At 35.2% G+C, this 27398-nt stretch overlaps 1 protein-coding gene and 1 pseudogene across 10 annotated transcripts in view, besides 1 other annotated feature; both read left to right on the forward strand.

Annotated features, from left to right (window-relative positions):
- Positions 297-1017, forward strand: NAPGP1 (N-ethylmaleimide-sensitive factor attachment protein, gamma pseudogene 1; annotated as a pseudogene).
- Positions 3445-4294: an enhancer, noted in NCBI's record as "OCT4-NANOG hESC enhancer chr10:90462586-90463435 (GRCh37/hg19 assembly coordinates)". NCBI's record gives its function as "activates a minimal SCP1, AML or CMV promoter by ChIP-STARR-seq in naive H9 embryonic stem cells {active_cell/tissue: H9 hESC(naive)}" and the evidence as "EXISTENCE:reporter gene assay evidence [ECO:0000049][PMID:30033119]".
- LIPK (lipase family member K) overlaps positions 6865-27398 on the forward strand; it is a 46528-nt gene continuing 25994 nt past the window's right edge. For 7 of the 10 annotated variants that reach the window (XR_001747183.3, XR_001747184.3, XM_011540073.4 and 4 more), the window contains exons 1-2: positions 6865-6936; positions 25153-25264. Coding sequence is in view for 8 of the 10 variants with exons in the window: in XM_011540073.4 (XP_011538375.1) it covers positions 6884-6936; positions 25153-25264 (165 nt within the window). In the remaining 2 variants the exon portion in view is untranslated. Of the gene's footprint in view, positions 6937-7056; positions 7114-25148; positions 25265-27398 lie in introns of all 10 variants that reach the window. The other 3 variants (XM_011540075.2, NM_001378091.1, NM_001080518.2) reach the window with 2 other exon arrangements.

A 27398-nucleotide genomic window follows, 5' to 3' on the forward strand; every position in this document is an offset into this window, starting at 1 on the left:
ATAGCTGAATATCTGGACGTTCCTAGAGACTGGGGCACAAGGGAGGGCTTGGAAACTCTGTACCCCTTCTCCCTGCATACCTTTTTATCTTCATGTGATGTGCCAGGCATGGGACACAGTGATTGAAAAGTTGACATAGAGCTTATATTCAAATAAGGGAGAGAGACCATGAATAAGTAAACTGATGATGTCTGAAATGAAAATCCTATGAATAGCTGACCAGAACTCTTACTGGTCAGCTGGTCAGGGCCCAAAAGAAATAGGCTTTCTCATCCACCATGCAGGCCCATGTGGACATGGTAGTGCAAAAGAGAAATAAGGGGCTGGAGTCCCTTGGCAAAGCAGATAAATACCTGCAAACTACCTTTTCAAAATGGAAGCCAGACTGTGACGGTGCCTTTTTTGAATGTGGAAAAGCAGGGCTTCCAAGCAAGCTGGCATGATGTTGAAGGAGATGCAGAAACAACCAGTCTGCGTGATGTATCGAGAAAACAGCACCCCTGACCCAGCAACCTCAGAAGTGGTGGAGCAAGCTGGAAAGCTCATAGAAAATGTAGATCCAGAAAAGGCTGTACAATTGTATCAATAAACAGCAATGTGTTTGAAAATGTGCAATGCCTCAACAGGCAGTTGAACACTTAGGAAAAGCTTCAGGACTGCTAGTGTAAAGATGCAGGATTGATGGGGGAGCACTTTCTATTCAGAAAGAAAAATATTTTTAAGGAAATGGAGAATTATTCAACTGGTTATAAGAAAAGAGTCGCTCAAGTCTTATTTCACTTACACAGTAATGACTATGCAGCTGGGACAGTGGTGGCAGGAGAGCTCCGGCATAGCAGGAGTCCATGGAGGTGATGGCTGAGCTGTACTGGATCAGCTCCCAGAAGGGTTTGCCCAGCAAGACCAAGCTGCATTTCAGAGGTCTGCAACTCTCCACTTTTCAAGCATATTGGCAATGATTATGCTAGCCCCAGCCTGAGTTTAGGGGTTCCAGAATGGGACATCAATAAATCATCAGGAATGGTTTGCACAGCCACATGAATGTACTTAATGACACATTAAGTGTACACTTAAAGGGGGTTAAAATGATTTATTTTATGTTGTGTGTATTTTACCATAGTAAAAAAAATTAAGAAGAAGGAATAAGAGGAAGAAGAGGAGTTGGAGAGAAGAAGAAGAGGAGGAGGAAAAAGAAGAGTTAGAAGAAAAAAGAGGAGAAACAGAAGGAAAAGAGGAGGAGGAAAATGGGGGAAAATTAGCAACACCAGTCATGGCTGGTGGCATCACCTCCATGGCTGCTGTTAAGGAAGACAAATATTCAGGACTATGCTAGTATTTTGCTTTGCAAATAAATAAATAATACATAGATAACAGAAAAAGTATCACATGGCGTTTCAGGGACTTGGAATTTGTTTAAGAGTATTCCATACTTCATTGTAGCCACGGTTTGAATGCTAATACTCTAATTTTTAGTTATTAATTCCCCAAATTAAAAAAAAAGCCAGAGACAGACCTCACTCTATTACTTATCCTGTAATGCAGTGGCACCATCATAGTTCACTATAGCCTCCAACTCCTGGGTTTATGCAATCCTCCCACTTTAGCCTCTTGAATAGCTGAGGTTACAGACATGCACCACCATGCCATGCACCACCACTCCAAGCCTAGATAACTTTCTTTTTTTGTATCTTTTTTTTTTTTGGTAGAAATGGAGGTCTTGCTATATTGCCCAGGCTAATCTTGAACACGTGGACTCAAGCAGTTCTCCCATTTTGGCCTTCCAAAGTGCTGGGACTATAGGCATGAGCCACCACACCCGGCCTACCCACAAATCTTAACCAACCTTTATTGTGTTCTAAAGTCTTGGCATTAAAACGCATTTTATATTGGAAGATTTCATTATATTATTCTACCTTTGCACAGCTAGAATGAGCCCTACTTGGTGGATTATATTTGCTAATACTTAGCAATAATGCATCACAATTTATAAGTAAGCATGGTCTGTAGTTGTTTCTAACCTTCTAAATTTTTTAATATCAGGATTATTCTAGCCTGTCAGGTGCATTAGAAAATTTCATTTTTAAATCCCCCTGTAATAGATTAGATAGCATAAGAATTGTCTATTCCTTGATGACTTGATAGAACTATAATCTATAACCCCTTTAAGCATGAATTTTTCATGAAGAGATGTTTTATTGTCTTTTAAACTCAATGATTTCTTCAGGTTTTTTTTATGACCTCTGGAGTTAATGTTGATCATTTATTATTTCCCAATAAAGCCTTCCATTTCATCCAGAGCGTTTGTAAAGCTGATATGCATTAAGAATCTCTAAGAGCACAAAGTAGTTTTTTTAAACTTTTTTGTTCAAGAATATGTTGCTGTTTAATTCATTCTTTTGTACAAATATTTTTCTAAGTTAGGCACTTTGAAAAATGCTAACACACTGTCTTAAAGCATTCTCTTAAATTTGTTTTCAAATTATCTCTGCACAAAGAATTAAATTCCTTTTCTTAGTCTGAATCTTGTATATTACTTTTTCTGTTATAATTGTTAGTATTTATCCAAAGAATTATCTCTTGAACATATGTATTAATTCTTCTATTTTCCTAGATATTTTTTCTTTTAAAATATGAATTCTTAAAGACAGGCATTATAGACAACCAGTCTGTGGAGAAAATATTTTGAGAGGAGGAGGAATTTTATTTTGCCTCCTTCCATTTTATAGGAGGAACAGATTTATACCCTGTTTACACATGTAGCTTATTGGATAATAACATGAACGAATAATATTGACTTAGAAACTTTATTTGGACTAAGTTATAAATTGTATTTCTTATTATACAATAATGGGAATATAATTTCTACATTCCAAAACATGTACAGGTAGCCATTTGGACTATGAGACCTACAACAAAATATCAAGTATCTACATAGTACGGCAACCAGGCATTTGGTGCTCTATGAATTAAAGGTCTCAATGAAGGGCTATACATTATATTATTTAGACTTCATCTGCAGGTTCTCTAAGCATGTTATAATTTCTATGAATTTCAGTTTCCATACCTGTAAAATGGAGATTATACACCTACTGTGCAAAGTTTGGGTAACAATTAGAGTTAACAGATAACCTGTCTCAAGACCCTTTTCCCAGTAGCTGTGGCCTCTTAAAGCCCCTACAAAATTTGAAGAAGAGATCTTTGGGCCTTGCAAAATCCTAGGTAATTTCACTTTATCAAAAGCCAAAGCATGTGAGTGTTTTAACTCATCTGAATCATAAAATAAATCATTACGAAGAGTTAACAGTCCTTGGATTAGAATAAACTACCTTTCATTGATTTCAAAGTGCATTTTTGTTTTACATTTTTGTATCTCTACTCAGAATGCTCCTTAAAATTGATGATGTCTTAAAAATATAACTGACATTGCTTTTCTTGTCTAGGAGTATGTAATACAATGGTACATTTTACAAATGAGGACATCTTAGGGTAAAAACATACTGTAATACCTTCCTCAGTTGTTTTCCAATTTACCACCCCCTTCCTAGGAAAATCCACACGCCTTAATGAATTGCTACAGTCATTAGCAAAGGGAGTAAGTTTTGATGTTTGTCTTGTCTGTGGGCCTTGTTTCCCTCTGACTCATAAGCTCTAATATACTCCAGCCATTCAAAATACCAGGTCCACATACATAGGTGCACTTACAAAAGGTCCTCATTGCACACCATTGAAGAATCACATACCCTAAATTCGAGATTTTAAACCTCAGATACAGATAGCCTAGGTCCCTACCAACAGTCTCACAAAAAATGCAAACCTCAGGGGATGGTACTCCAAAGTAATTAACCAAAACAAGAGTAGTTGTTATGCAAATACCAAGGAATTTAATCTCCTTAAGAAAACAATAAATTCCTGGTTCAGACCTAAAGGCACAAATTTTAAAATGTGTGTAGATTACAGACTCAGCTCAGCTCCATTCTAAAAGATGCATTCTCTATAAGACCTCCCTAACACCTGGAATACAAGCAGCTGGGTAAACATCCTGGCCATGCAGTATGGGCAGCATGAGTCAGTTAGAGGGCAAGGTTCTTTCTCTTGATCCGCCCACATACCTTGGGGGTGTTAGAAGCCTTGATGGAAGTAGGAGATGAAGTGTTTCATGGAAAAACACCTACTTCCGCATGATAAGGCAAGGAGAGGGAGTGAAAGAGAAGATGGGCCCTACCCTTCTGCAGGGCCCTAAAGCCACTACCAAGACAGGAGAAGGGAAAGCCCCTTTATTTTGTGTCCTGGGATTGGAGAAATAATTTTTTAAAGACCCTAAAATCATAAATATTACTATACAAGTATGTGTGTAAACAGAGATGGATTTCTGTTCAATGAATTAAATCATAAATGAAAAGAGAAATGGCTAGGCGTGGTGGCTCATGCCTGTAATCCCAGAACTTTGGGAGGCCAAGGCAGGTGGATCACTTGAGGTTAGGAGTTTGAGACCAGCCTGGCCAACATAGTGAAACCCTGTCTCTACCAAACAGAAAAATTAGCCGGGCATGGTGGTGCACACCTGTAGTCCCAGCTACTTGGGAGGCTGAGGCAGAAGAGTCACTTGAGTCCCGGAGGCAGAGGTTGCAGTGAGCTGAGATCGCACCACTGCACTCCAGCCTGGGCCACAGAGCAAAACTACGTTAAAAAAAAAAAAAAAAAAAAACGAAAAAGAAAAGAGAAATGACAGATTGACAGAAATAGACTAGCAAACTGAGTGGGAAATGAATACTCAGCACTGTTGATGGAAGTGCATAGCCTATTTCTGGAATAATCCGGAAATATATAGTAAAATTGATCAACCATATGACCTATGACCAAAAAATTCTCATTCCTAGATGTATGGCATGCACACTATTCCATCGTGGGGCATATAAATGCTGACATATTTAATGGTGCAGAATTTAAGGGAATGAAATTATCGGTCATTGGGGAATAGGACAGTTTAAAGGTGGAGGTTTTACAGTAAGAAGTAACAAACAACATATGCTTAATGCAACATGTTGGATTCTCACAAGCCAGGCCTGCTTTATAGATGTGTGAAATATGCAACTCTAGAGGATTAGAAGGTGTGGTTAGAAGGCCCTCACACTTAGACACTTTGTTGTCATCATCTTTAAATTATTATTCATAAGAAGTCCCATATTTAAAATTTGGCACTGGGCCCCACAAATTATGGAGACAATCCAGTTCACAGGCATAATGTACAGTAAGAAAAGTAGGAAACAATGAGATTTATAATAAAATAATATATGAAAATCTCATATATGCTATATACTTTACAGTGATATGGTCACTCTTTAGGATAAACTAGAGATTGAATGAAAGTAGGGATCAGGGACAAAGGTCAAAATAAATTAAATAAAATTTATAAAAGAATAAACAAAGCAGTAAAGGGTCCTTATATGGATGAATAACCCATTCAGTGTAAAAGTGCCCCAAACTACAATGATTTGGATTTCCTGTGGGTAGGAATGCATTGCAGAAAATGTTTGGCAAAATAGTTCAAGATCAACTATGTAATAATTGAAAATTCCATCGTTTCTTTTCTTTTTTCCCCAAGAATATCTGTGTTTTCTAGTATAGAAATGTTTGTATTTGCTAGCATAGACTAGATTCCAGCAGTTTGTATATTGCCAAAACATGAACTATCTTTCCAGTTGCTATGTTTTATTTCAGAGACTCAAATTGGCATGCCAGTAGAATGTACTACATTTTAAGTGGAATTATACATTAAAAATATAAGAATATAAAACGTTTCTCATAAATCAAGTAAATCTGTAAATAATTAAGTGGTTGAAACTATTATAGTAATGGAAGCAAAGCCAATTCCAACTACAATTTCCAATCAAACTGACTCTAATGGAACCTAATTAGTAACTGACACAATCCAAAGAAACTTGAAGGTATTTAAACTAACCTCATGCCACTAAGTCCTACCTGACTAAAATGCACGTTCTGATACAAGTGTGTTTGCAATTCTTTCCTATGCTCTGCGTGTATATAGACATGTCTGAACCAATGATGAAAATTCAGGAAATAATTCAGGAATACTCTTCCTCTTCAGATTACTTTGAAGCATGGAAAATATTAGTTTTGAGATCATTTTAGAAATTTGGTTGTTTTAATTTACCCAAACTGGACTTGTAATTACCCTTGTAATTTTCGATAATATAAATGCCCACTACTGAAAATAGAGCTCTATGCAGTTCTGGAATTCCAGATTATCTGATTTCAAACTTTCATGGAGTGCAGACACAAGACAGCTTACATGGCAAGAAAGAGATTGGTTGGAGAGTAGAAAAAAAAAGCCAGTTTTGTTTTTGTTTATTTGCCTTTAGCTAGCTAGAGATCTTGAAAGAATTGGATATACTATTTCCTACCAATTCTAATGCCCAATTTACATACCAAGGTAAAAGAAATTCAGAAAAGCCAAAGCAATAATTGACAATGTGGTAGCATTAGAAGTGATGCAGCTGGATGAGGCAGGAGGATGTGGCATTTTACAGAGATGCTCGTATGACTGGGGTCATTTCATCCACCCTTGGTGGAAATTATTTTCTAAGTAGAGAGTCTCAGATTCTGCTGAGAATCTTCCAATTCATCTGACCCTTGAGGCATGGAACATGAGGATTGGCTTGGCAGGAGTGAGAATTTTAGTCTCAATCACATTCTTTTTCATCACTGGCTAAGAACTCACCTAACAAGTTTACCTTAGTAGCATCTGTTATATTTGAAACCATGATTAATCTGCTTCCAGTTGAGAAATTTCTAGTTGCGCCATCTTTTGAGCTGTTTAAAACAGAGCATGTTCCACTGACAGTTGCCTCTGGAAGGATCTGGAATGCACCTGAAGCTCCCAGGACTTGAAGACAGACCTCCAAAGACTTGGATCAGGTAATGACTTTTCATCTATTTGCAGAGCCTGGATCATAGTGTATTAGTGAGACATAGGAAACCTTCAGAGGGACAGAACTTTACATGTTGATGATGAATATTGTATTTTGATTCTATCAGGTTAAGCAAGATACAGCAAGAGTATAATGTGACAACTTCAGATGGAGAGTCTTCTAGGTATGTTATGACAAGTTTTCCCTTTCAGAAAGCTGCAGCATCTAGAAAGCAGACATCACTATATTTGAACCTCAGTGAGAGGAGGTATCACAAGTCTACACTTGGAAAAATCTAGCAATAAATAATTTTATGAACCTCTCTTTTGAGTCTTGCATCTAGGGGTTTGGGAAATAATGTTTGGATAATGTTCTCAAAACCATTTACCATTTTTTAGGAAGCCCTTTATGTTCTCATTCCAATGGCCTTGAGTATGAATATTCTTTTTTATGATCAGGGTCATCTGCAGGGGAATATGAAGCAAAGTGACTGTCAAGAGTGACACAACTGCTTATGAAATCAATCATTTGTGGAGGACACACCATTCTCTTTTTCTGCTGCTTTGTAATAAATAGTTTGACTGGGAGAGGAGTGAAAATGTGGTTCACATTAATGTAGATGATATTTAAGAGTATCATGCTCCTGTCACCCTTTAAATTGCAGACCTGATTGGAAGCTAGAAAGATGAAGATGAGTCAACTGGATGGACTAATATTCCCTCTAGACATAGAGAGATTAAATAATTATTCTTTAATTCTATGTGTCAAAGCCAAACTGTTATTTTTTGTTTGTTTTTACAAAATAGTTATCCTTTGTTTTCTTTTTCTAGAAATAAGAAAGCAGTTTTTACCAGGCTTTCTTTGTGTCTGAAAACAGAAACCAACTCAAATATATAGCACCTTGGCATACTTAGCACTTCAGGCTGTAAATATGAGAGTATGGAACTGAGTTTTGGAATAACAATATGAAGTTAAAGTGCCATTTTACTCTAAAATGACTTGGTTTCATATTCCTTCACTGGACTATCCTGTCTCTCCCTTACTTTGTAAGGACATTGAGGGAAAAATTATTTCCTTCACTGCTCTTCCTTTGTGGTTTATTTTATTTAATTTTTGCCTTTAATTTGAAGGAACAATCTTTCAGACCCTATTTTACCAGGCAGGACAAGTGTTTTGTCCTTCATATTATCGAAGACATGTGAAATATAATGCTCTTTAAATGTTTGTTATTCATTTTTTTCTGCCTTGGCATTTTATTTCCCATTTATCCCAAGACTCTTGTTCTTTTCTGCTTGCCTCTAGGCTTAGAGCACAGAGCTACTGGCCTCTTAACCTATTTGAAAATTCCATCAAAGTTGCCTAGTCTTTCTTCCTGATTCAAATGTGCTAGGTGTTTAATTCTCAAATCTACAATTTTTAGGACTGGATATCCTATTAGGTAAAGATTTCCTTTCATTCACTTGTTAATAGTCTCCTCAGTCTTCCTGATTCATTGTCTTTCACCCTGTGGGTGGGGGAAAAACAGGGAAGCAATTTAAATCTAGTTTCTGACTAACCTGACCACTAATAGTTGTGAGTCACTCTGTTTTGGTAAGAGGTTAAAAGTATTAGAGCTTTATGAAGGATGCTGAGGTAGGAGCAAGACAGATCCTAAATCTCTGTAAACACCCAGTGGGTTTTTAGATTTAAAATGTCAGATAAAAAGGAAAAATGTGGCAGATGCAAAAACATTCTAATTGATAAACAACAGTCTTCTGGCAAACCCAGTCATTTGTATGGCTGCCAAGAATCTTTTAATAAACAAAAACTATGCGATACTGCTGAAATGATTATTACAAGATGGAAGTACTAAAACTTCTGAACTTTGCCCCTAAGAAGACATCTAGGACATTTACTCACAGGTCATTGAGTTTAAATTTATACATAATTATTTCTAAATGTCATAACCTTTGCTATTATTATAAGGATGATTCAAGCTAATAAATTCATCAAGAAAAATATATAACCAATAAGTAAATTAGTGGAAGAGAGAAAATGTTTATTCCCAGTGACCAAATATAACCATTTTCATTTTGGAGTAATTCTTCTAGTCTTTTGAAGACCATACTTTTTTGTTTATTTGTTTTAGAAGTTTAAAAACAATAAAAATTTAAAAATATATAACAGTTGCTTAAATATTATTTTTGCTTCTATAGTCCCAAAGTTTGCAAAACTCTGTAAGTGACTGCAAATTTTTAGGTTGGCATATAAAATTTATGTCATATTTTTAAATCATTGCTAAGGTGCACTTTATGGCACATTGTAAATATTAATAGTTTAAAATTAAATTGCTACACAATTTTCAAAATGAATCCAATAGAATAATGATTTGATGCCTAATATCATCCATTTAAAAATTCCCTTAATGAATTTAAAGTTTTACATCTTTTATTTTTCTCTTTCTATTCATATTCTCATTCCAGTCATTTCTACAGATGTTTTACATATTCCTACAAATATATTTTAATATAACATATTTGTGTTATTATTTCTTTTATTGATCAGTAGATTATTCTCTGCAACTAAAAGGTCCATATACATTAAAACTTAAATTGTTTTCATTTCCTGTGACCATAAGGTTGCATTTTGTAAAAAGTTTTTAATGATGTGTGATTTTAATTTTTCTTTGTATATAATTGTCCAAAGGATCATAACACATTAAAAGTTTAATGAAAAATGATTAAGCATTAGGAGTAAAACTTTATTGGTGATGCTTTTCTTAATGACGTAAATAGATCTTTGCCTTTTAAATTCTGCATCCATTGATGATGATTATTTATTGACAGAATGAAACAAAATTCATCATCAATTCTTTTTCATTTTTTGAATAGATGTGAGTGCTGAGAAACCATGTTTACATAATGCCACAATTTTTTGAACTCTTTATGAAGCTCTGTGTCACAAATCACATAGTGATGCATCAACAAAAATTATTTTATTTTTTTATTATACTTTAAGTTCTGGGATACATGTGCAGAATGTGTAGGTTTGTTACATAGGTATACATGTGCCACGGTGGTTTGCTGCACCTATCAACCCGTCATCTACATTAGGTATTTCTCCTAATGCTATCCTTCTCCTTGTCCCCCACCCCCCGACAGGCCCCAGTGTGTGATGTTCCCCTCCCTGTGTTCTCATTGTTCAACTCTCACCTATGAGTGAGAACATGCGGTGTTTGGATTTTTGTTCCTGTTAGCTGGCTGAGAATGATGGCTTCCAGCCAAGACACAAAAATTATTTTTTATGATCTATCTACTAACCACTCAAGTGCATCCTCTTTCTATTTTTTTTTTTTTAAGCAAAGAATTCGAAACCGACTTGCAGAAGTTAAATGCCCTTGGAAAGGGACTGCTATTTTATTAAGGTCAGTTCCTTTCCCAATACCAATGTCAATATTGTCAATTATTCTCTTGTTAGGGAGTCTCAGCCATTTATACAGCCTAGAACAATTCACATCGTAAGATTCAGGAAAGGAGAGGGTTGGGCTTTTCCTTTGCAAAGTTAGAAAAGGAGACCCTGCTTCAAACCAGAAATTCTCAGGCCAAATTAGTATTACAAAAGAGTGTAGATGAGAGTCAAAGGTCTAGAATTTCATTCTTTTAAAACTAGGTATGTGCCTATGTATTTCTTGAAAGTTATTGTATACTCTATAGACTATTGGTATATACAATTCTTTTGCCCAACAACTTTTTCCTCTATTTAACATAATGTTATAAGTATGCTTTCATGTTTTTATATAGTCTTTAAAATAATTTAATGGACTTATCTACAAGATTAAATTAATATATTATAGTTTATTTTAAAATTCTCTTGTAATTGAAAACATGTTTTTAATTTTTATTACAAATAACAAGAATTAAAGCAATCTTGTACAAAAAGATCCCTCTCCAAGTTGAGAATTTATCTTTTTAGCATGTATTTATTGAGTGGAACTACTGGGATATAAAATGTGGATGTTCTTTAAAATTCCTAGTAATTACAGCAATATGTCAAATAAGTTTTACTAGTTTACACCAGCACTAGTAAATGTTGAAAACACCTGCTTTGCAACAGTTTCCAGTTTCCTTTTAATTGTGGTATAATTACATTCAGTAAAATGCACAGATCTGAATTGTACAGTTTGATGAATCTTAGCAATTACCCCAGTCAAAATTTGCCCTAGAACCAAGCAAACACTATTGTGATTTCTATTCCTATGAATTAGTTTTATCTGTTTTTGACCTTTACAGAAATTCAACCGCAGAGTATGCACTCCTTTGCGCTTTTTTCATTCGGCATAACGTTTGTGATATTTATCCAGGCTGTTGAATGTGTCGATGAGTAGTAAGCATTCCATTACATAAATATAACATGATTATGTGTCCATTCTACTACTAATGGACATTTGTATTATTTTCAATAATTTGCTATTTGTGAATAAATCTTCAGCGAACAATCTTGCAAACCAATATTTTCTTTTATTTTAAGCAACTACCTAAAGGCAGAATTGCTATCTCACAGGATTTTCAGAAACTGTTAGAGTTTCTGAGAGTCACTGTGATATTATAAACTATAAATATATATCCCATCATCAATATATGGAAAGGTCCAGTAGCTCCTCATCTTCCCCAACATTTGGTGCAGTTGATGTTAGCTAGTCTAGTGAGTATGCAGTAGTATCTCTCTAGGGTTTAACTTTGCATTTCTTTCTGATGACTAACAATGTTGAACATCTTTTCTTGTGTTTATTGACCTTCCATCTATTCTCTTTTGTTTACTGTCTGTCCAAGTATTTTGTCCATTTTTTAAATTTAATTTTTTTGTTGTTATTTATTTCTGGAGTTCTTGAAATTTCCTAGAGTCCTTTATCAAATATCTGTTGCAAATATTTTCCTTTTGTCTGTGAATTGTCTTTTTATTTTATTATTGCATATATTTTAATGTGAATAACGTGATGTTTTGCTATATATATATGTAGTGAAATGGTTACTATAGTCAAACAAATTAACGTATCAATAATCTTACCTAGTTACCCTTTGTGTGCGTGGCAAGAGCGCTTAAAATGTACTCTTTTAGCCAAAATTCCAAGTACAATACAATAAACTATAGCCCTCAAGTTGTACATTAGCTGTTTTGTTTCTTCTCTTTTCCTTTGCTTTTTGAGACAGTCTCACTCTATCACCCAGGCTGGAGTGCAGTGGCACAATCTCGGCTCACTGCAACCTCCACCTCCTGGGTTCAAGTGATTATCATATCTCAGCCTCCTATGAGTAGCTGGGATTACAAGCATGCACCAACATGCCTGGTTAATTTTTGAATTTTTAGTAGAGATGGGGTTTTACCATGTTGGCCAGGTGGGTCTTGAGCTCCTGGCCTCAAGTGATCCACCTGCCTTGGCTTCCCAAAGTACTGGGATTACAAGCGTGAGCCACTGTGTCCGGCCTATTTTTTTGATGATGTTTTTGAAGAACAGAAGTTTTTTATTTTAATAATTTTTTAATCTTTTTTTTGCTTATGGTTAGTTGTCTACCCCAAACGTGTAAAGATATTATTCTTTGTTATCTTCTAACAACTTTGTACTTAAGCTTTTAGTTTTAGATTTGCAATCTGAGGTATATTTTTGTATCTGGTTTGGGAAATGTATCAAGGTTACTTTTTTCAAAATTGATTTCCAATTGTTCCTGCAGGAATAATTGTTGAAAATACTTTCTCATTGAAATACATTGAAACCTATGTCAAAAGTTATTAAACAACATATAATTTAATCTGTTGAGTCTGTTGATGTATAAACAAAGTATATCTCTCTATGTATTTGGATTTGTTTTGTAATTTTCAGTGTAAAGATTTTACAGATCTTCTGCTCAATGTATTTCTCATTATTTTGATTTTTGTTAGCATAGCAAGTGTAGTGCAATGATGACTCTGAACTCTCTCAGTTGAAATCATATTTTACCACTTTTTAATAGATAAAATTTTACAATGTTTCAGTAATTTTTTTAGCTAAAAAGAACTAAAACTAGCTATGACAGCAACAATAAAAATGACTGGTAACAATGCAAGTAAGCTTCATTTACCTACTTACTATTCATGCACTTATTCAGCAAATCCATACTGTGGACCTACCATAATGTGGACCTAACATTTACCTGTTAATGGCCTAAATTCTCATACATGCTGAACAGATAAGGTGTCTATTGTAAATATAGTACTGCTCCCTCCCATATTCTTTGTGAAAGTCATATCCTTGTTCCAGATAATGTTTTTTTTTATTAATTCCAGGCTCCATACTCTGAATCATCTGAGCCACTTCTCATTAACACATACATCAGCTTAGCCTAATTATAGCTTTTGCAGGGATTTATCTGAGCTGATGTATCTGTACTGTTTCCATTTACTTTTCTGCTTATTTTCTTCAGAGAACAGTCCTATTTAAAATGAAAATGCTAGTGTGATTCTTACTGTTACCATGGGAAGAAGAGAGAGAAAGAGAAAGCTTTGAAATAGTGCATTGCAATAGTCCATAATTTCTTTCTCTTGAATAAAGAGTTTTATTTTGTTTTTAACCAGAGGGTCAGATATAAGGAAACTGAAAGAAAAGATGACCAACTTCTTTTGAATAAGATTTTCAGCCTGTAACTCTATATTAGCTATAGGTTACTGGAATTTCATGAAATGTATGCATCCTGGTAGTCATTTAAAGAAATGAAATACATGGGATACTCCATCATCACACAGGAGACACAGTATAGAGAGGTGGTTACATCTGTAGACTCTGGGATCAAACCAATCAGATACAAATATCGCTATAGCAATTTCTAGCTATGTGAATTTAGCTAACCTACTTACCCTCTCTTTGCATGAGTTCCACTTTCTGTACAACAAACCAACAAAAAGAGGATAATAGAGATAATAATAGTAGCACCTACCAATAGAGTTGTTTGTAACTTAATTCTTATAAATCACTTTTTAAAGTCAACGCCATATAGTTATTTCCAATTGTTATTATATGTGATAGATACCAAAAATTATAGCTGTTATTGTCCTAATTGCATTTTGATTTTTTGTTGTATTACCATAACAGTGTTTTTATTTCTGGCGACTAGAAAAAAAGAGGGATAAACTTTCAAAGCAAGAAAATACAGTTCTGAAAGAAGCATAGTTTTATGAACTATCTACTTTATCAGCATAAGAAAAAACAATTGCTTTTTAAATATTAGCTTTGTATCTTAATACTTTTCTCTGTATTCATCTATTAGATATAGTGGGTTTTGTGTAGACTAGTTAGGATTTTCTATGTGCATCACCACACCATGTAAAAATAAATTTAGGCTGGGCGTGGTGGCTCACACCTGTAATCCCAGCACTTTGGGAGGCCGAGGTGGGCGGATTACCTGAGGTCAGGTGTTTGAAACCAGCCTGGCCAACATGGTGAAACCCCATCTCTACTAAAAATACAAAAATTAGCCAGGCGCAGTGGTGGGCACCTGTAATCCCAGCTACTTGCAGGGCAGAGGCAGGAGAATCACTTGAACCCAGGAGAGGCTCACTGCAGAGGTTGCAGTGAGCCAAGACCATGCCATTGCACTCCAGCCTGGGTGTCAGAGCAAGACTCTGTCTCAAAAAAATAAAAATAAAAATAAAATAAAATAAAATAAATTTAGTGTTGTTTCTACTTTCCCATCTTTGTTGTTGTTGTTGTTTTCTCTTTCGATTTATTTTATTTAATAGCACCTCCAGTATCACGGTAAATGGAGGTGATAAGAAAGACATGCTTTCTCTTGTTTCATTCTTAAGGTGAAAGTATTCAATATGTTAGCATTAATTATAATTGTACCTGGAGGATATTTTATAGAATTCCTTCATCTGATTGAGTTCCTTTTCATTTCTATTTTCCTAAAAATTTTTTATTATAAAGTGGTGTTGAGTTTTGTCAAACGTACTTCCCAATTTTAAAACTGATCATTTTAAACTATTTGCTCCTTTGATTAATTTCCATATTATTCTAATAACCTTGGCTCCAATTTATCCATCAGAACACTAAGAATAGTTTGTCAAGAAGGGTTGTATGCTAACAACTTCAGGGACACATGAACAACTTCAGTGTTATAACTCTGTAAAATCGTCGATGAGTGTAATAATTTCTTCCGCATATTAGATAGGATGCTCACCAATGAAACTATGTGGATCTGTAATTTTTGTCCATGCACGTGGAAATATTTTATAAAACAAATTCAACTTTTAAAGTAGATATAGAAATGTTCTTTTTCTTCTGGAAATGGTTTTTTAAGTTGTGTTTTTCAAGGAATTTGTCTAGTTAATATAATTTATCAAATTTATTTGCAGTTTTCAGAATATTCTCTTATTTTATTGTTTGTATTGTTAATGATATGTACTATTTTATTTCTGATATTGGCACATATTGTAGCTCTATTTTTCCTTGATTAGTTTTGTTAGGGTTACTTGATTTTTATTAATTTTTTCCAAGGACCAACTTTTGGCTTTATTAATTTTCTCTAATATGTTTATTTATTTTATTATTTCCTCTTTATTATTCCTCTCCTCATACTACTTTGATATTAATTTGATTCTCTTTTTCTAACTTTTTATGGTAGAAACTCAGATAATTGATTATAAACTTTTTTCTAACACTGGCAGTTAAATCACTAAATTTATTTCTAAGCAGTACTTTGGCTGTATGTCAAATTTTGATATGTCATGTTTTATTATCATTTAGTTGCAAATATCTTCTATTTTCCATTTTTATTGCTTCAGTTTCTATGGGTTCTTTAGGCATGTTCTGCAAATGTCAATTATAACAAATTGGTTAATAGTGCTGTTCAGGTTTTCTATATTTCTATATTATTTCTGTCTAATTTTTCTGCCAATTATTGAAAGAGATATGTTGAAACATACAGCTATGAAACTGAATAATTACCTGTATCTCTATCAGTTTGATCTTCTCATATTCTGAAGTTCTATTATTGGATGCCTACATATTTAGGGTTGTTTTATCTTCCTGATGAATTGACTTTTGTCTTCTAGATGAATTAACATTATGAAATATCTCACTTTGACTCTGATAATGTTCATTGTCTTGAAGCCTACTTTGTCTGTTATAAATTTGACAGCTTTCTTATTCTTACTGCTTGTATGATATATTTATTTCTTTTACTTTCAACCCATTTTCCTTTACATTTAAAGTGTGCTTTTGTTGAAAGTACATAGTTGGGCCCCGCTTTTTTTATACATATTATAGTCTGACAATATTTGCCTTTTTTTAGAGTATTTTCTGTATTAGCATTTAATGTAATTTTTGGTACAGTTTTGTTTAAATCTGCCATTCTGATCTTTCACTATTTGTTTTCCACTTGTCCTCTTTCTTCCTTTTCTTTCTTTTTTCTTTCTTTCTGTTTCTCTTTCTTTCTTTCTTTCCTTTCTTTCTCTCTCTCTTTCTTTCTCCTTCCTTCCTTCCTGCTTTCCTTCCTTCCTTGCCTGTTTTCTGCCTTATTCTAGGATAATAAAATATTAGCATTCTGTCATGATTCCTCTATTGAGTTTTTAAAATATGCCTACCTCAAGATTGCAAATTTGTACCCTATTATCTGATGACTGAAAACAATTGACTTGTATATTTGATCTAGTGAGAGAACTAGTCTTGTATGAGTTACACCACCATATTTGGAAGTGGAAGTTTTTCATTATGGTTTCTCAAATGGATATTTAATATGATAAAATGATTTTGTAAAAATTAATCTTTTGGCAACATACATAACGATTCGACTCATAAAGACTCAAAAATGAAAAACCAGGCAGGAGACCAGTATAATGATATAAGATATTAGGAATTAGATACTAGACTAGATAGGTAATAGTAATAATTGAAAACTTTTTAAAAAGAATGACAGAGAAAAGAGATAATTGAGCAAAGTTTTGAAAAGGAGTTTGAAAATATTTGAAAGAATATCACTATTTATTAAGAGATTGGCAATAGAGTTTGAGGAAATCAGAGAATTCAGGAAAATTTCTTTTTTTTTTTTTTTTTTTGAGACAGAGTCTCATTCTGTCATTCAGGTGGGAGTGCAGTGGCCCGATCTCGGTTCACTGCAACCTCTGCCTCTCGGGTTCAAGTGATTCTCCTGCCTCAGCCTCCCGAGTAGCTGGGACTACAGGCGTGTGCCACCACAACTGGCTAATTTTTGTATTTTCAGTAGAGACAGATTTCACCATGTTAGCCAGGCTGGTCTGGAACTCCTGGCCTCAGGTGATCCACACGCCTCGGCCTCCCAAAGTGCTGGGATTACAGGCATGAGCCACTGAGCCTGGCCAGAATATAGGAAAATTTCAGTTTCCAGCTTTCAAGATTGGGAGGATACAGATTCTGGAATTGAAATAAAAGAGGAATTGAAAAAGAAAAAGAGAATAATTCTATTTGAGGGGATACTGGATTAAAGACTGCAAAAAGAAATCAAAGTGGAAGTATCCTGAAGGCTTGAGGGAATATGGAATTAGAGGTTCACATGTGGGATGTATGGATTTGGATTTTTTTTTCTCACCTAGGGAATATATGAAAGTATGTGATTAGTGAGAGATACTTGAGAGAATGAGTTTGGGGAGAAAGAAAGAGTGAGCAGCAGACAGATGATAAGATGCTGTTGGATCAAGGAGAATGGGGAAAGAGACCAGTGCATGTAGCTAGCAAAGGGTGGAGCTGGGAGTCAGAACACCAGAGATGAAGAAGCGGATGGGTGACTAGGAGACAGCAGGAGAGATCCCACATGTTTGATTCCAGGATTTGTCTGTTTTGTCATCCAGTTCATTTAAATAGTAAACATAGGGATGAGCTCTCAAACCATCTGCTAAATACCTGGTTGTGAATACCAGATTCCTTTGGAATGTCTCTCTGCTCCCTTCTAGATCTTTTCATTCAAATGATTGTAAAGGAAAGGTTCGTCTTGGTCCTTAACTTTGCTTGAGTTATTTTAGAAACATAGCAGAAGATATTCACCTTCTACTCTTGGGTTTTTCTGTAAAGAAGATGCATCCTGCCTTATATTCCGGTATTTTCTATTTTTTTATGATTTAGTTATGCTGTCTTTAGCATTATTTCTTTGGAACTTTGCAACAACCTCATGAGGAAGGTGGCATAGGCATTTTTAAGGTCCACGTGTTTTCCCAGATAGGAAAAGAAAGGCCCACACTATAGGTCTTCTGTTTTTCGGACTCTTTTTCTAGAATTCTTTCATTAACTCCCAGTAACTCTCCTAATTGTGCATTGTGATAGAGAAGAGGATAATAAACTTTTCCTCCTCAGCACACAGTTGGGAAATAATGATGTACCATCTGATCTACAGACAAAAATAAGCTGAATGCACAATTGCCATAAAATTCCTGCTAATATCTCATCTGGAAATATATAGAAATATATTACTCAAGACCAGCCATTCCATTGTTTACCAACAACTGAACATGTAAAAATTGCTCAAACATAGCTTATTAAGATAAGAAGTGAAAAAACATCACTCAGGTTGCCTAAACTTGTATTATTTAATGTTTTTTTTTTTCTGATTTATTTCTTCCCCACTCTCTTTTTCTTTGCCTTCCTGGCTCCTTTCTTTAACTTTTCTCATTTTCTGTCTCTCTCTTGGGGCAGGAAAGAGGCTCTTTCAGTTTTTTGTTTAGCCTTCTTAAGATCATATAGGTAATATCGATTCATTATAAATATGGACCTTTTATCCTTTTGTCCAAATAATGATCTGTTATATAATTGCTTTCTTCCTCCCATGCATTCTACATTCCCACATTTCTTTTCCATATCTTTCTTAGCTCACTAATCAAGAAAAGATGAAACAAAAAATGTATGCCATAACTGATGACAGGCAAGATATGGTTTCATGTCTTTCACTAATATTATACTTGGCTTCCTTCTATATATATACATACATATTATTTAGGAAATTTTATATATATAGATCTATATATATAGAAGGAAGCCAAGTATAATATAGGATGAAAATTTTATATATATACTTTAGAAAATTATATATTATATATATAAATTTTTATCCCATTTGTCATGTCTTCCTTGGGCTGTGAGAATGTCATACATTTTGCTTACATTTTATTGTGCATGTTGACATCAGCTTTGTTTTGTGTCTTTTATTTGTTTACCAGGTAACCTGCATATACAAGAAATTTTCTATTTTCATTTTTCTGGGCCCTATCCTATTTTTTACTTTGTCACTCATAAGAATTTTATACTCAAATTTGTTAAGACAAAATTGTTCCTCTCTTGTAATCTTCCAATGAGTTACACTGTTCCCAAACTATCTTCATAAGGGGTAGTAAGACCCAGTGAAAAGAAATTGAGTAAAACAGATATTGTTCAAATTCTAAATTGACATTTACGTTTGCTAGCGATGGAAAAATAATGATTATAATGATTAAGCATATAGATGCTCAGTCCATGGTATATAAATTATAGATTAAATAGGTAAAGTACTCTATACAGTGAAAAATGAATATTATTAATAGAATTAATAAGTAAACAGAAATTCTTGGCTGCTCTTATTCTATTTGAGAAGTGTTGGTACAAAATATGTTGTTATTTTTCATAAGTCAATTGAAATAATTGTGCCATATTCAGTATGAGCAAAACTAGAGACACAGAAGATTTAAAAAGTTATAAATACGAAGTATTTGTATTTATAATATAAAGTATAATATGTGGTTCTTGTCCTTAAGAAGCTTATGAACTAGTTGAAGAACCAAGACATACATCTGAAATAATCACAGAAGTAGAAGACATGGTATAACAAGAGCTACCATTTACTGAGAGTCAAGCATTGTTAGATGTTTTATAGACATTATTTATCATCTTATTTATCACATCTTTATCATCTTAAGCCAACCCTACACGTAGGTGTTATTATCCTCACCATACAGATAAGAAAATTAAGTTTCAGAGAAGTTTAATTGCCTAGCAATCACACAACTAATAATAAAAACAGTAATAGTCAATAGTTAGGAAGTGTCTACAATGTGCGGCTTCACTGGGAAGCTAGTGATGGAGTTGAGACACAGGAGCTGTGGCTCATAGCCAGTTTTGCTCCCTGCAGTTGAAGCTCTGACAGCTGCATTCTCATGGCTGCCATATCTTCTGAAGGACAGAGTTAGAATTTTAACTCAGAATTCTCCACAAAGCATTCAGGGATTCATCATTAGCTTTATTTTACCATTGATCAAACTGAAATTCTTCTGTAGAAACTGACCCCTTTGCATTTTTTAAACTTAAGAGTTTTCCAAACTTAGAGCTTAGAGTTTTCTGTGGGGTCTTTGTACCTGCACACTCTGGCCAATTCTCACCTCCATTTACGAATACAGTGAAGAATTAGGGTGGGGACTGGTTAAGAATGCTCTCCAAGCATTGCCATAAGTTGTTATTAAGTGTTTGCTTGATGAGCCTGATAGTTCCTATTATTGGGCAATGAGAAAAATGGAATTAAGGTCTCTATTACTTCTGATATTCTTTTGTTGAGAAATTGCTATCCTTGATTTCACCATCAATGTATTTGTCAGTGCAAAATGCATTACTTATGAGAGCTGCCTACATATAATCCACATGCATTTGATATACAATATGTAAACCCAGTATAAAATCAAACATGCATCAAGGCAATATTCTCTTGAAAGTCTCATATTTCCTACTGACTGCAGTAGCTAGAGGGGTTGGGGGCAGGGAGCGGACAAAAAGCAACTATTGGAGAAAGGGAGATTTTGAGCATGGGAAGAGGGTCTTGCAAGTAATGTACCTTTTTCCAACCAAATTTGAGTAAAAGTAGCAGCTGTCTCCACTGTCATGTAGAGCATCTGCCTGAAGAAACTTTTGAAAGAGACATTTCCAATTTTTGCCCACTTATTTTAGCCTTTCCTTCATTATATAGATTTTTTTGGTATAGTAAATAGAGAAAGAAATATTAAATCAGCATTTAATAATTCATGGACACAAAGAGGGGAATGACAGACACTGGGGCCTACTTGAGGGTGGAGGGTAGGAGGAGGAAGAGGATCAGAAAAAGTAACTATTTGGTACTAGGTTTAGTACCTGGGCAACGAAATACTCTGTGCAACCAACCTCCATGACACAAGTTTACGTATATAACAAACCTGCACATCTACCCCTGAATCCAAAATAAAATTTTTAAAAAAGACGGCAGAAAAGTAGGTTAAATAAAGTTAAATAGAGTCTTGACTGCAGGACTATAGTGAACCTTAATTATAAACTAAGGCTCTCCAAATAAGTGATGTTTATAGCATTTATATAAGTGTATCCAGATACATGTGTGTGTATGTGTGTGTGTAGTCTGAATATCCAAGCAAGTTTTATGCACACACACACACACACAGTCTATAAGTCTCCAAGGAAGTCATATATATAATATGTACACATACATATATAGTTGAACATATATTTGCCCATGGCCTCTTTATACAAATAGCATTTTATGGGAGTCATGTTTTGTAGGATGGCAATGTGAAAAGCTGATTTACAGTGATAAATCAATAAAATCTATTATAGATTATATCTATAATAAAATATACAATAAATATAATCTATTGTGATTTAATCTGAGTACTTGCAACCAAGGGTCACATCTTTAAAAACTGAGAATCCCCTGAATTTATCATGTCTGCTTTTTTCTTAGTCTAAAATCCTTATATGCATTAGCATATCCTTAGTCTAATATCCTTATATTTATTAGTCTAATATCTTTATATTTCTTAGTCTAATATCCTTATATGCATTAGCATATAAGGATATATGAAACAGGATATAAGGATATATGATATTATATAGAATATAAGGATATATGAACCAGCAGAATGTCGATGTGGGACACATGAGAAGGCAATATTCATCAGGGAGCTGTCACAGAAACAGGTCAAAGAAATAAAAAAACTCAGAGTATTATTAAGAGAGGTTCCTGAATCAAGCACCCTTACCCAACAATTATAGTTAATGCTATAAAGCTTGGATAGGCAAAGCAGGTAAGAACATCCCTTGTAAGAGGTGCTGGAAGACAGGCTGTTTAGATTGGACTTGACACTCCTTCCTAAATGGAACACGTATAGACTCCTCTTGCTGCGGTGTGTCATCCTTCTATATCCAGATCCATATAACACAGGGGAACAAAACAAAGGCAGCTGATGGGCTGTATGTCATGGTTACAAAAGGCAATCTGTCATGGCTAGTATATCCTTGTGCCATCCCTTGGGGCTGGCTCCCAGCTCTTCCTATAAGCAGCACATTGTGCTAGCTCACAGCCCTCTTCCCCTGCAACATTACAACACCGACAGGATTAGCCATTTCAGAAGAGAGCTGGATCTGCTCCAACACAAGGACCCCAGGTTTACTTACTGGTGATTTTGATTCAGAGGCCTCAAAACGCCAGCCACTCAGCAGAAATGAGACCATGTTAACTGTCAAAGCCTTGAGAGAGAAGACCAATTTTTACACATTTCCCTACTACTTTGCCATAAAATATAATCCTGAGGTAAGGACCTGATCAACATTCGAAGCTTACTCTCAGTGAGGAATGATGAAGTGGAATAAAATCAAACCAGTGAAGCAATATGTAATATAAAATAGTGAGTCAATTTGGCATAGTCATTAAGATTAAATAACATGGCCAGGTGCGGTGGCTCACTCCTGTAATCCCAGCACTTTGGGAGGCCAAGGTGGGTGGATCAGCAGGAGTCAGGAGTTCGAGACCAGCCTGACCAAAATGGTGAAACCCCGTCTCTACTAAAACTACAAAAAATTAGGTGTGGCGGCACGCGCCTGTAATCCCAGCTATTCCGGGGGCTGGGGCAAGAGAATCCCTTGAACCCAGAAGACAGATGTTGCAGTGAGCCGGGGTCGCACCATTATACTCCAGCCTGGGCAACAAGAGCAAAACTCCGTCTCAGGAAAAAAAAGATTAAATAACATATTCATGTACTCCTTCATCCATCCATTTTATTGGCATTTATAAAAACCTGCATGCTAGGTCTCAGATAAACAGAAACAAGAATGAAGTAGTTTATCTTCTGAAAGAATCCAACCAGTCTGGCTGTTTTTTAAACTTTAGAATGCATATGAACCACTTGTAATGATGGTTTAAAATGCAGATTGCTGGGCCAAGCCCCCTCAATAGATTCTCCTTCAGCTAGGCGGTGGTGAGGTCTAAGGGTTTTCAGTGTGATGTCTAAGAGTCTTCAGTGTTTTTCATGGTGATTATGATGCCTGTGGTCTATGGGCCATACTTAGAAAAACACTAATTAGACACACAGAAGCCAGAGGGCCCCTGTAAAACTAGTCTGAATGGACGGAGTGGTTAAGAGCACAGTCTTCATTTGCATTTCCTAGAGTCAGGCAACCTGAGTTCAGATTCTGCCTCCATGACCATCTGTTTGATGTTGGGCAAATTACTTGACTTTGTAAGACCCAGTTTTATTTTAAATAAAATGAGGACAATATTTCCCATCCTTTTTTAAATTGTTTTTCTTCTTTTCTTTTTTCTTTTTTTTTTTTGACAGGGTTTCACTCTGTCACCGAGGCTGGCGTTCAGTGGTGGTGCTATTACAGCTCACTGGAGTCTCAAACTCCTGGGCCCAGGTGATCCTCTCACCTCAGCCCCATGAGTAGCTGGGACTACAGGTGCATGCCACCATGGCTGGCTAATTTTTTGTATTTGTTTTAGAAACAGGGTTTTCCGTGTTGCCCAGGCTGGTCTCGTACTCCTGGACTGAAGTGATCAGCCCGTCTCAGCCTTCCAAAGTGCTGGGATTACAGGCATGAGCCATCATGCCCAGCCCAATATTTCCTACCCTTTAGAATTATTTTGAGAATAAAATAAAATCATATATGTCCGGCACATTATTTGGTACATAATAGGTGCTCAATACATAGTTATAAGAGCAGTTATGACAGCAATAATAATTATTGCTTCTGAAGGTGATATTATTATTGCTGCCATAGAGTTGCACCAGAATCAAGCTATATTAACCTGTATTAATTTATATGTCAATATATTATATTACTATACAATAGCAAAACAGATTAGCAGGGAGGGTGTATTTTCTAACATAATTTGAAGATCTGTATTTTATAAGTAACTGTAAAAGGAAGCCCTCTTGAAAAATGTTCCCCTTGGTTGTTTTTGCAAAGTTGTTCTTTGCTTTAAACTTAAGTAGTTTCAAAGACAAATGAGAAATACTCATAATCTTTTTCTCTCCACAATGTTCACAATTTTAAAAAAAGTTTAAATAATAATGTTTTTCCTATGATAAAGTAATACTGGATATAGAAAATTTAGAAAGTGTGAAAAACACTTTAAAAATGAGAAAATAATCATCCAAATATTCACCATCTAGATATAACTATAATTAAAATTTGATGTTTAGGTTTTTTTTTTCTATTATGGTTTGTGTCATCATTGAACTCAAAATATATGCACAATTTGAAGTCTGTTTTTCCCTACGTATTATGTAGTAGGAATTTTCACATATCACACATAAGCATAATATTTGATGACTGAATAATTCCATTTTTTCTCACCCATAATTTAGGTCAACAGTCTCTTACTTTGGGAAATTTTACTGTCTTAAGATATATAATAAGAAATAATTTTATACCCAGTGTTTATATACACGTCATTTTTCTTTTAGATAGATTCCTGAAAACAAAATTACTGAGTGAAGGTTATGAATACTTTTAAATTTACAAGACATGTTAACAAATTTTTTTCATAAAGGTTTTGCCAATGATTAACTCTACCATCAGAAAAAAGTACCAACCAATCTAGTAACTAGAGATACCAAATGTGCTTTGATTAATTTATTGGCCATTATATTTCTTTTCTACACATTATCTATTCCCTCTTTTGTCCAGTTATCTACTGGAAACTTGATTGATTGGTTTCTCTGTTCCTTTCCATTCATTCCCTCTTTTCTTCTTTCCTTGTGCCTTTTCTTTTCTTACTAAAAAGTCATTTTAGATTTTTCATGGAATGAATGTTGTATAATTCAGTATTCTACTGGTTAAAGCACAGCCTAGAAGTATGTTTCTGCTCTCTCTCATAGCAGTGTTATAAAAAGATTACACCAAATTTCACTTCGTAGAATTTATCTTTGATGACAAATATATTAAATTTCCTTTCCTAGGCAGATCCCAAATGTGGCAGCTTTTAGCAGCAGCATGCTGGATGCTTCTTCTTGGATCTATGTATGGTTATGACAAGAAAGGAAACAATGCAAACCCTGAAGCTAATATGAATATTGTAAGTCATTTATTCAGAAAAAAATGCTAAAATAAGGAATTATTCATATTTCAGCATTTTAGATACAACTGGTGTGCCTTCTTAGTTTTCAGCAATTCCTCCAGTGACTAAGTCTGTGCTTCCTCTCCTGTTTCTTGATATGGCTAACTAATCCAAGAATTAAAAGATCTGACCCAAGTTGGGGCAGTAATAGTCCATCTCCTGGTGGTTTGAACTACCATCCAGTGGTGGCTTCCTAAAGAGAAGTTTCATGACTTAATACAGATGATCTCTATAGAGTACCTTTGAGTTTTCCCCGAGATTTTTGATAGAGCAGTTTCTTTGATTTTGTGAGCTATCCCAATATGCTTTTTTGGTTTCATAAGCCAGTGTTGGTTTCTGTTGTTTATTACCAAAGTATTTTAACATTCAGGAATTCATATCAGAAGTGGAATGGAATAGTGTTAGGCAAAGAAAAAAAGGCCAAATGACAAATATCTACTACAGAATTCATTCAGATAATATACTCCATTCTCCTATATAAACGGCGCACAATTGCTGTCCTGTACCATACGCAAGTTGTATCAGAACCATAAAAAGAACGAAACTGCCAAAGTTTTTTTTCATTAGTATCTCTTCTTGTTCCTCTCTCCAAAGTATCCAGCAAGTACCCTTGATCTCCTACCAAACTGTTGAACTCACATAATTTTTCTCTCTCTAGCATGAGGGATTTTTAGCTTTTAATCCTTCTATAATGATAAGAACAATCATCTATAAAGCATTTATGTTAGGCATTATTCTACACATATTACATATAATCCTCACAATGTCACAGTCTGTCTCCAGAGCCTGGGCTCTTCACCATTGCTCTGTGTAGCCCACAATTTATACATGCATCTCTGTGTCTGACTTGGGAAAATGCATAATCCTTTGATTAAGGCATAAGCTTTGGAGTTAAACTTACTTTAGCATTAATCTTTTTATCTCTTCCTGGTATATAATCTTGGATAAATTGTTAATCTACCTGAACATAAGTTCTCTCAACTGTAAATGGTACAATTCCATCTCAAAGGCCTCTTATAAGTTTAATGAGAAAAGGAATGTAAACCTCTACGCAGAAGATACCAGTAATCACTAATTCCCCTCTTCTTTGTATATCTGCAGGTGGGGTATCTTTTCTGACCCCTCTAGGCTCACTCTCTGTTCTTTAACACCTTTCTCTCTGCCCAAGAGGCTGAACTGTAAGGACAGGTCAACAAGCTCCCTTGACTTTTGGTTTTCAGTTCAATTCAGCCAATGGAAATGGTGAGCAGGAGATGGAAAGAAATAGGCCAGTAAGGTTTCATTTTTTATTGCCCTGGCTTCCTCCCTGTGAAGTCAACTTAGACAAGCTGTCTTCCTCAATTTGGTTATCTCAGCTTAACTTTCTCCTTCGGGCTTCCAGTAACTGCTTCCTCCCCTCTTCTTTCAAGTCTGTTTGGTAATAGATCACTTGTTATTAGCCACAGGGTACTCCACAATTCCCTGTGGTTTCCCTCATTAGATGACCATATAATTTTCATCAAAGCAAACTAGGGTGCTTTAATAATACCAGGCCAGCAGGCAAAACCAGAGTGTCCTGAGCAAACAAGAATGTAGGGTCACCCCACCCAGACTTACCTATGCCTCTTTATGTAACTCCTAGAAATCCCTCTTAAATTATCCTCATAGGAATATTACATGCCGTCACGGCACATAGAGTGATAAACAGTAGGTGCAATTTAAAGTACTACATTGTGGCCAGGCAGGGAGGCTCACACCTATAATCCTAGCACTTTGGGAGGCTAAGGCAGGGGAACGAATGCCTTGAGCTGAGGAGTTTAAGACCAGCCTGGGCAACATGGTGAAACCCCATCTCTACAAAAACATACAAAAAATGTAGCTGGCCATTGGGACAGGTGCCTTTAGTTCCAGCTACTTGGAAGACTGAGGTGGGAGGATAGCTTGAGCCGAGGAGGCGAAGGCTGCAGTGAGCCAAGATCACACCACTGCACTCCAGCCCAGGGAACACAGTGAGACCCGTCTCAAACAAACAAACAAACAGACAAATAAAGTACTATGTTGTAATTCATGTGTAAAAATTAAGAGATTATAACATGAAGGTATATATTTCCTT

Source organism: Homo sapiens, chromosome 10 (assembly GCF_000001405.40).
Source record: "Homo sapiens chromosome 10, GRCh38.p14 Primary Assembly".
NCBI classification, from domain to species: Eukaryota; Metazoa; Chordata; class Mammalia; order Primates; family Hominidae; genus Homo; species Homo sapiens.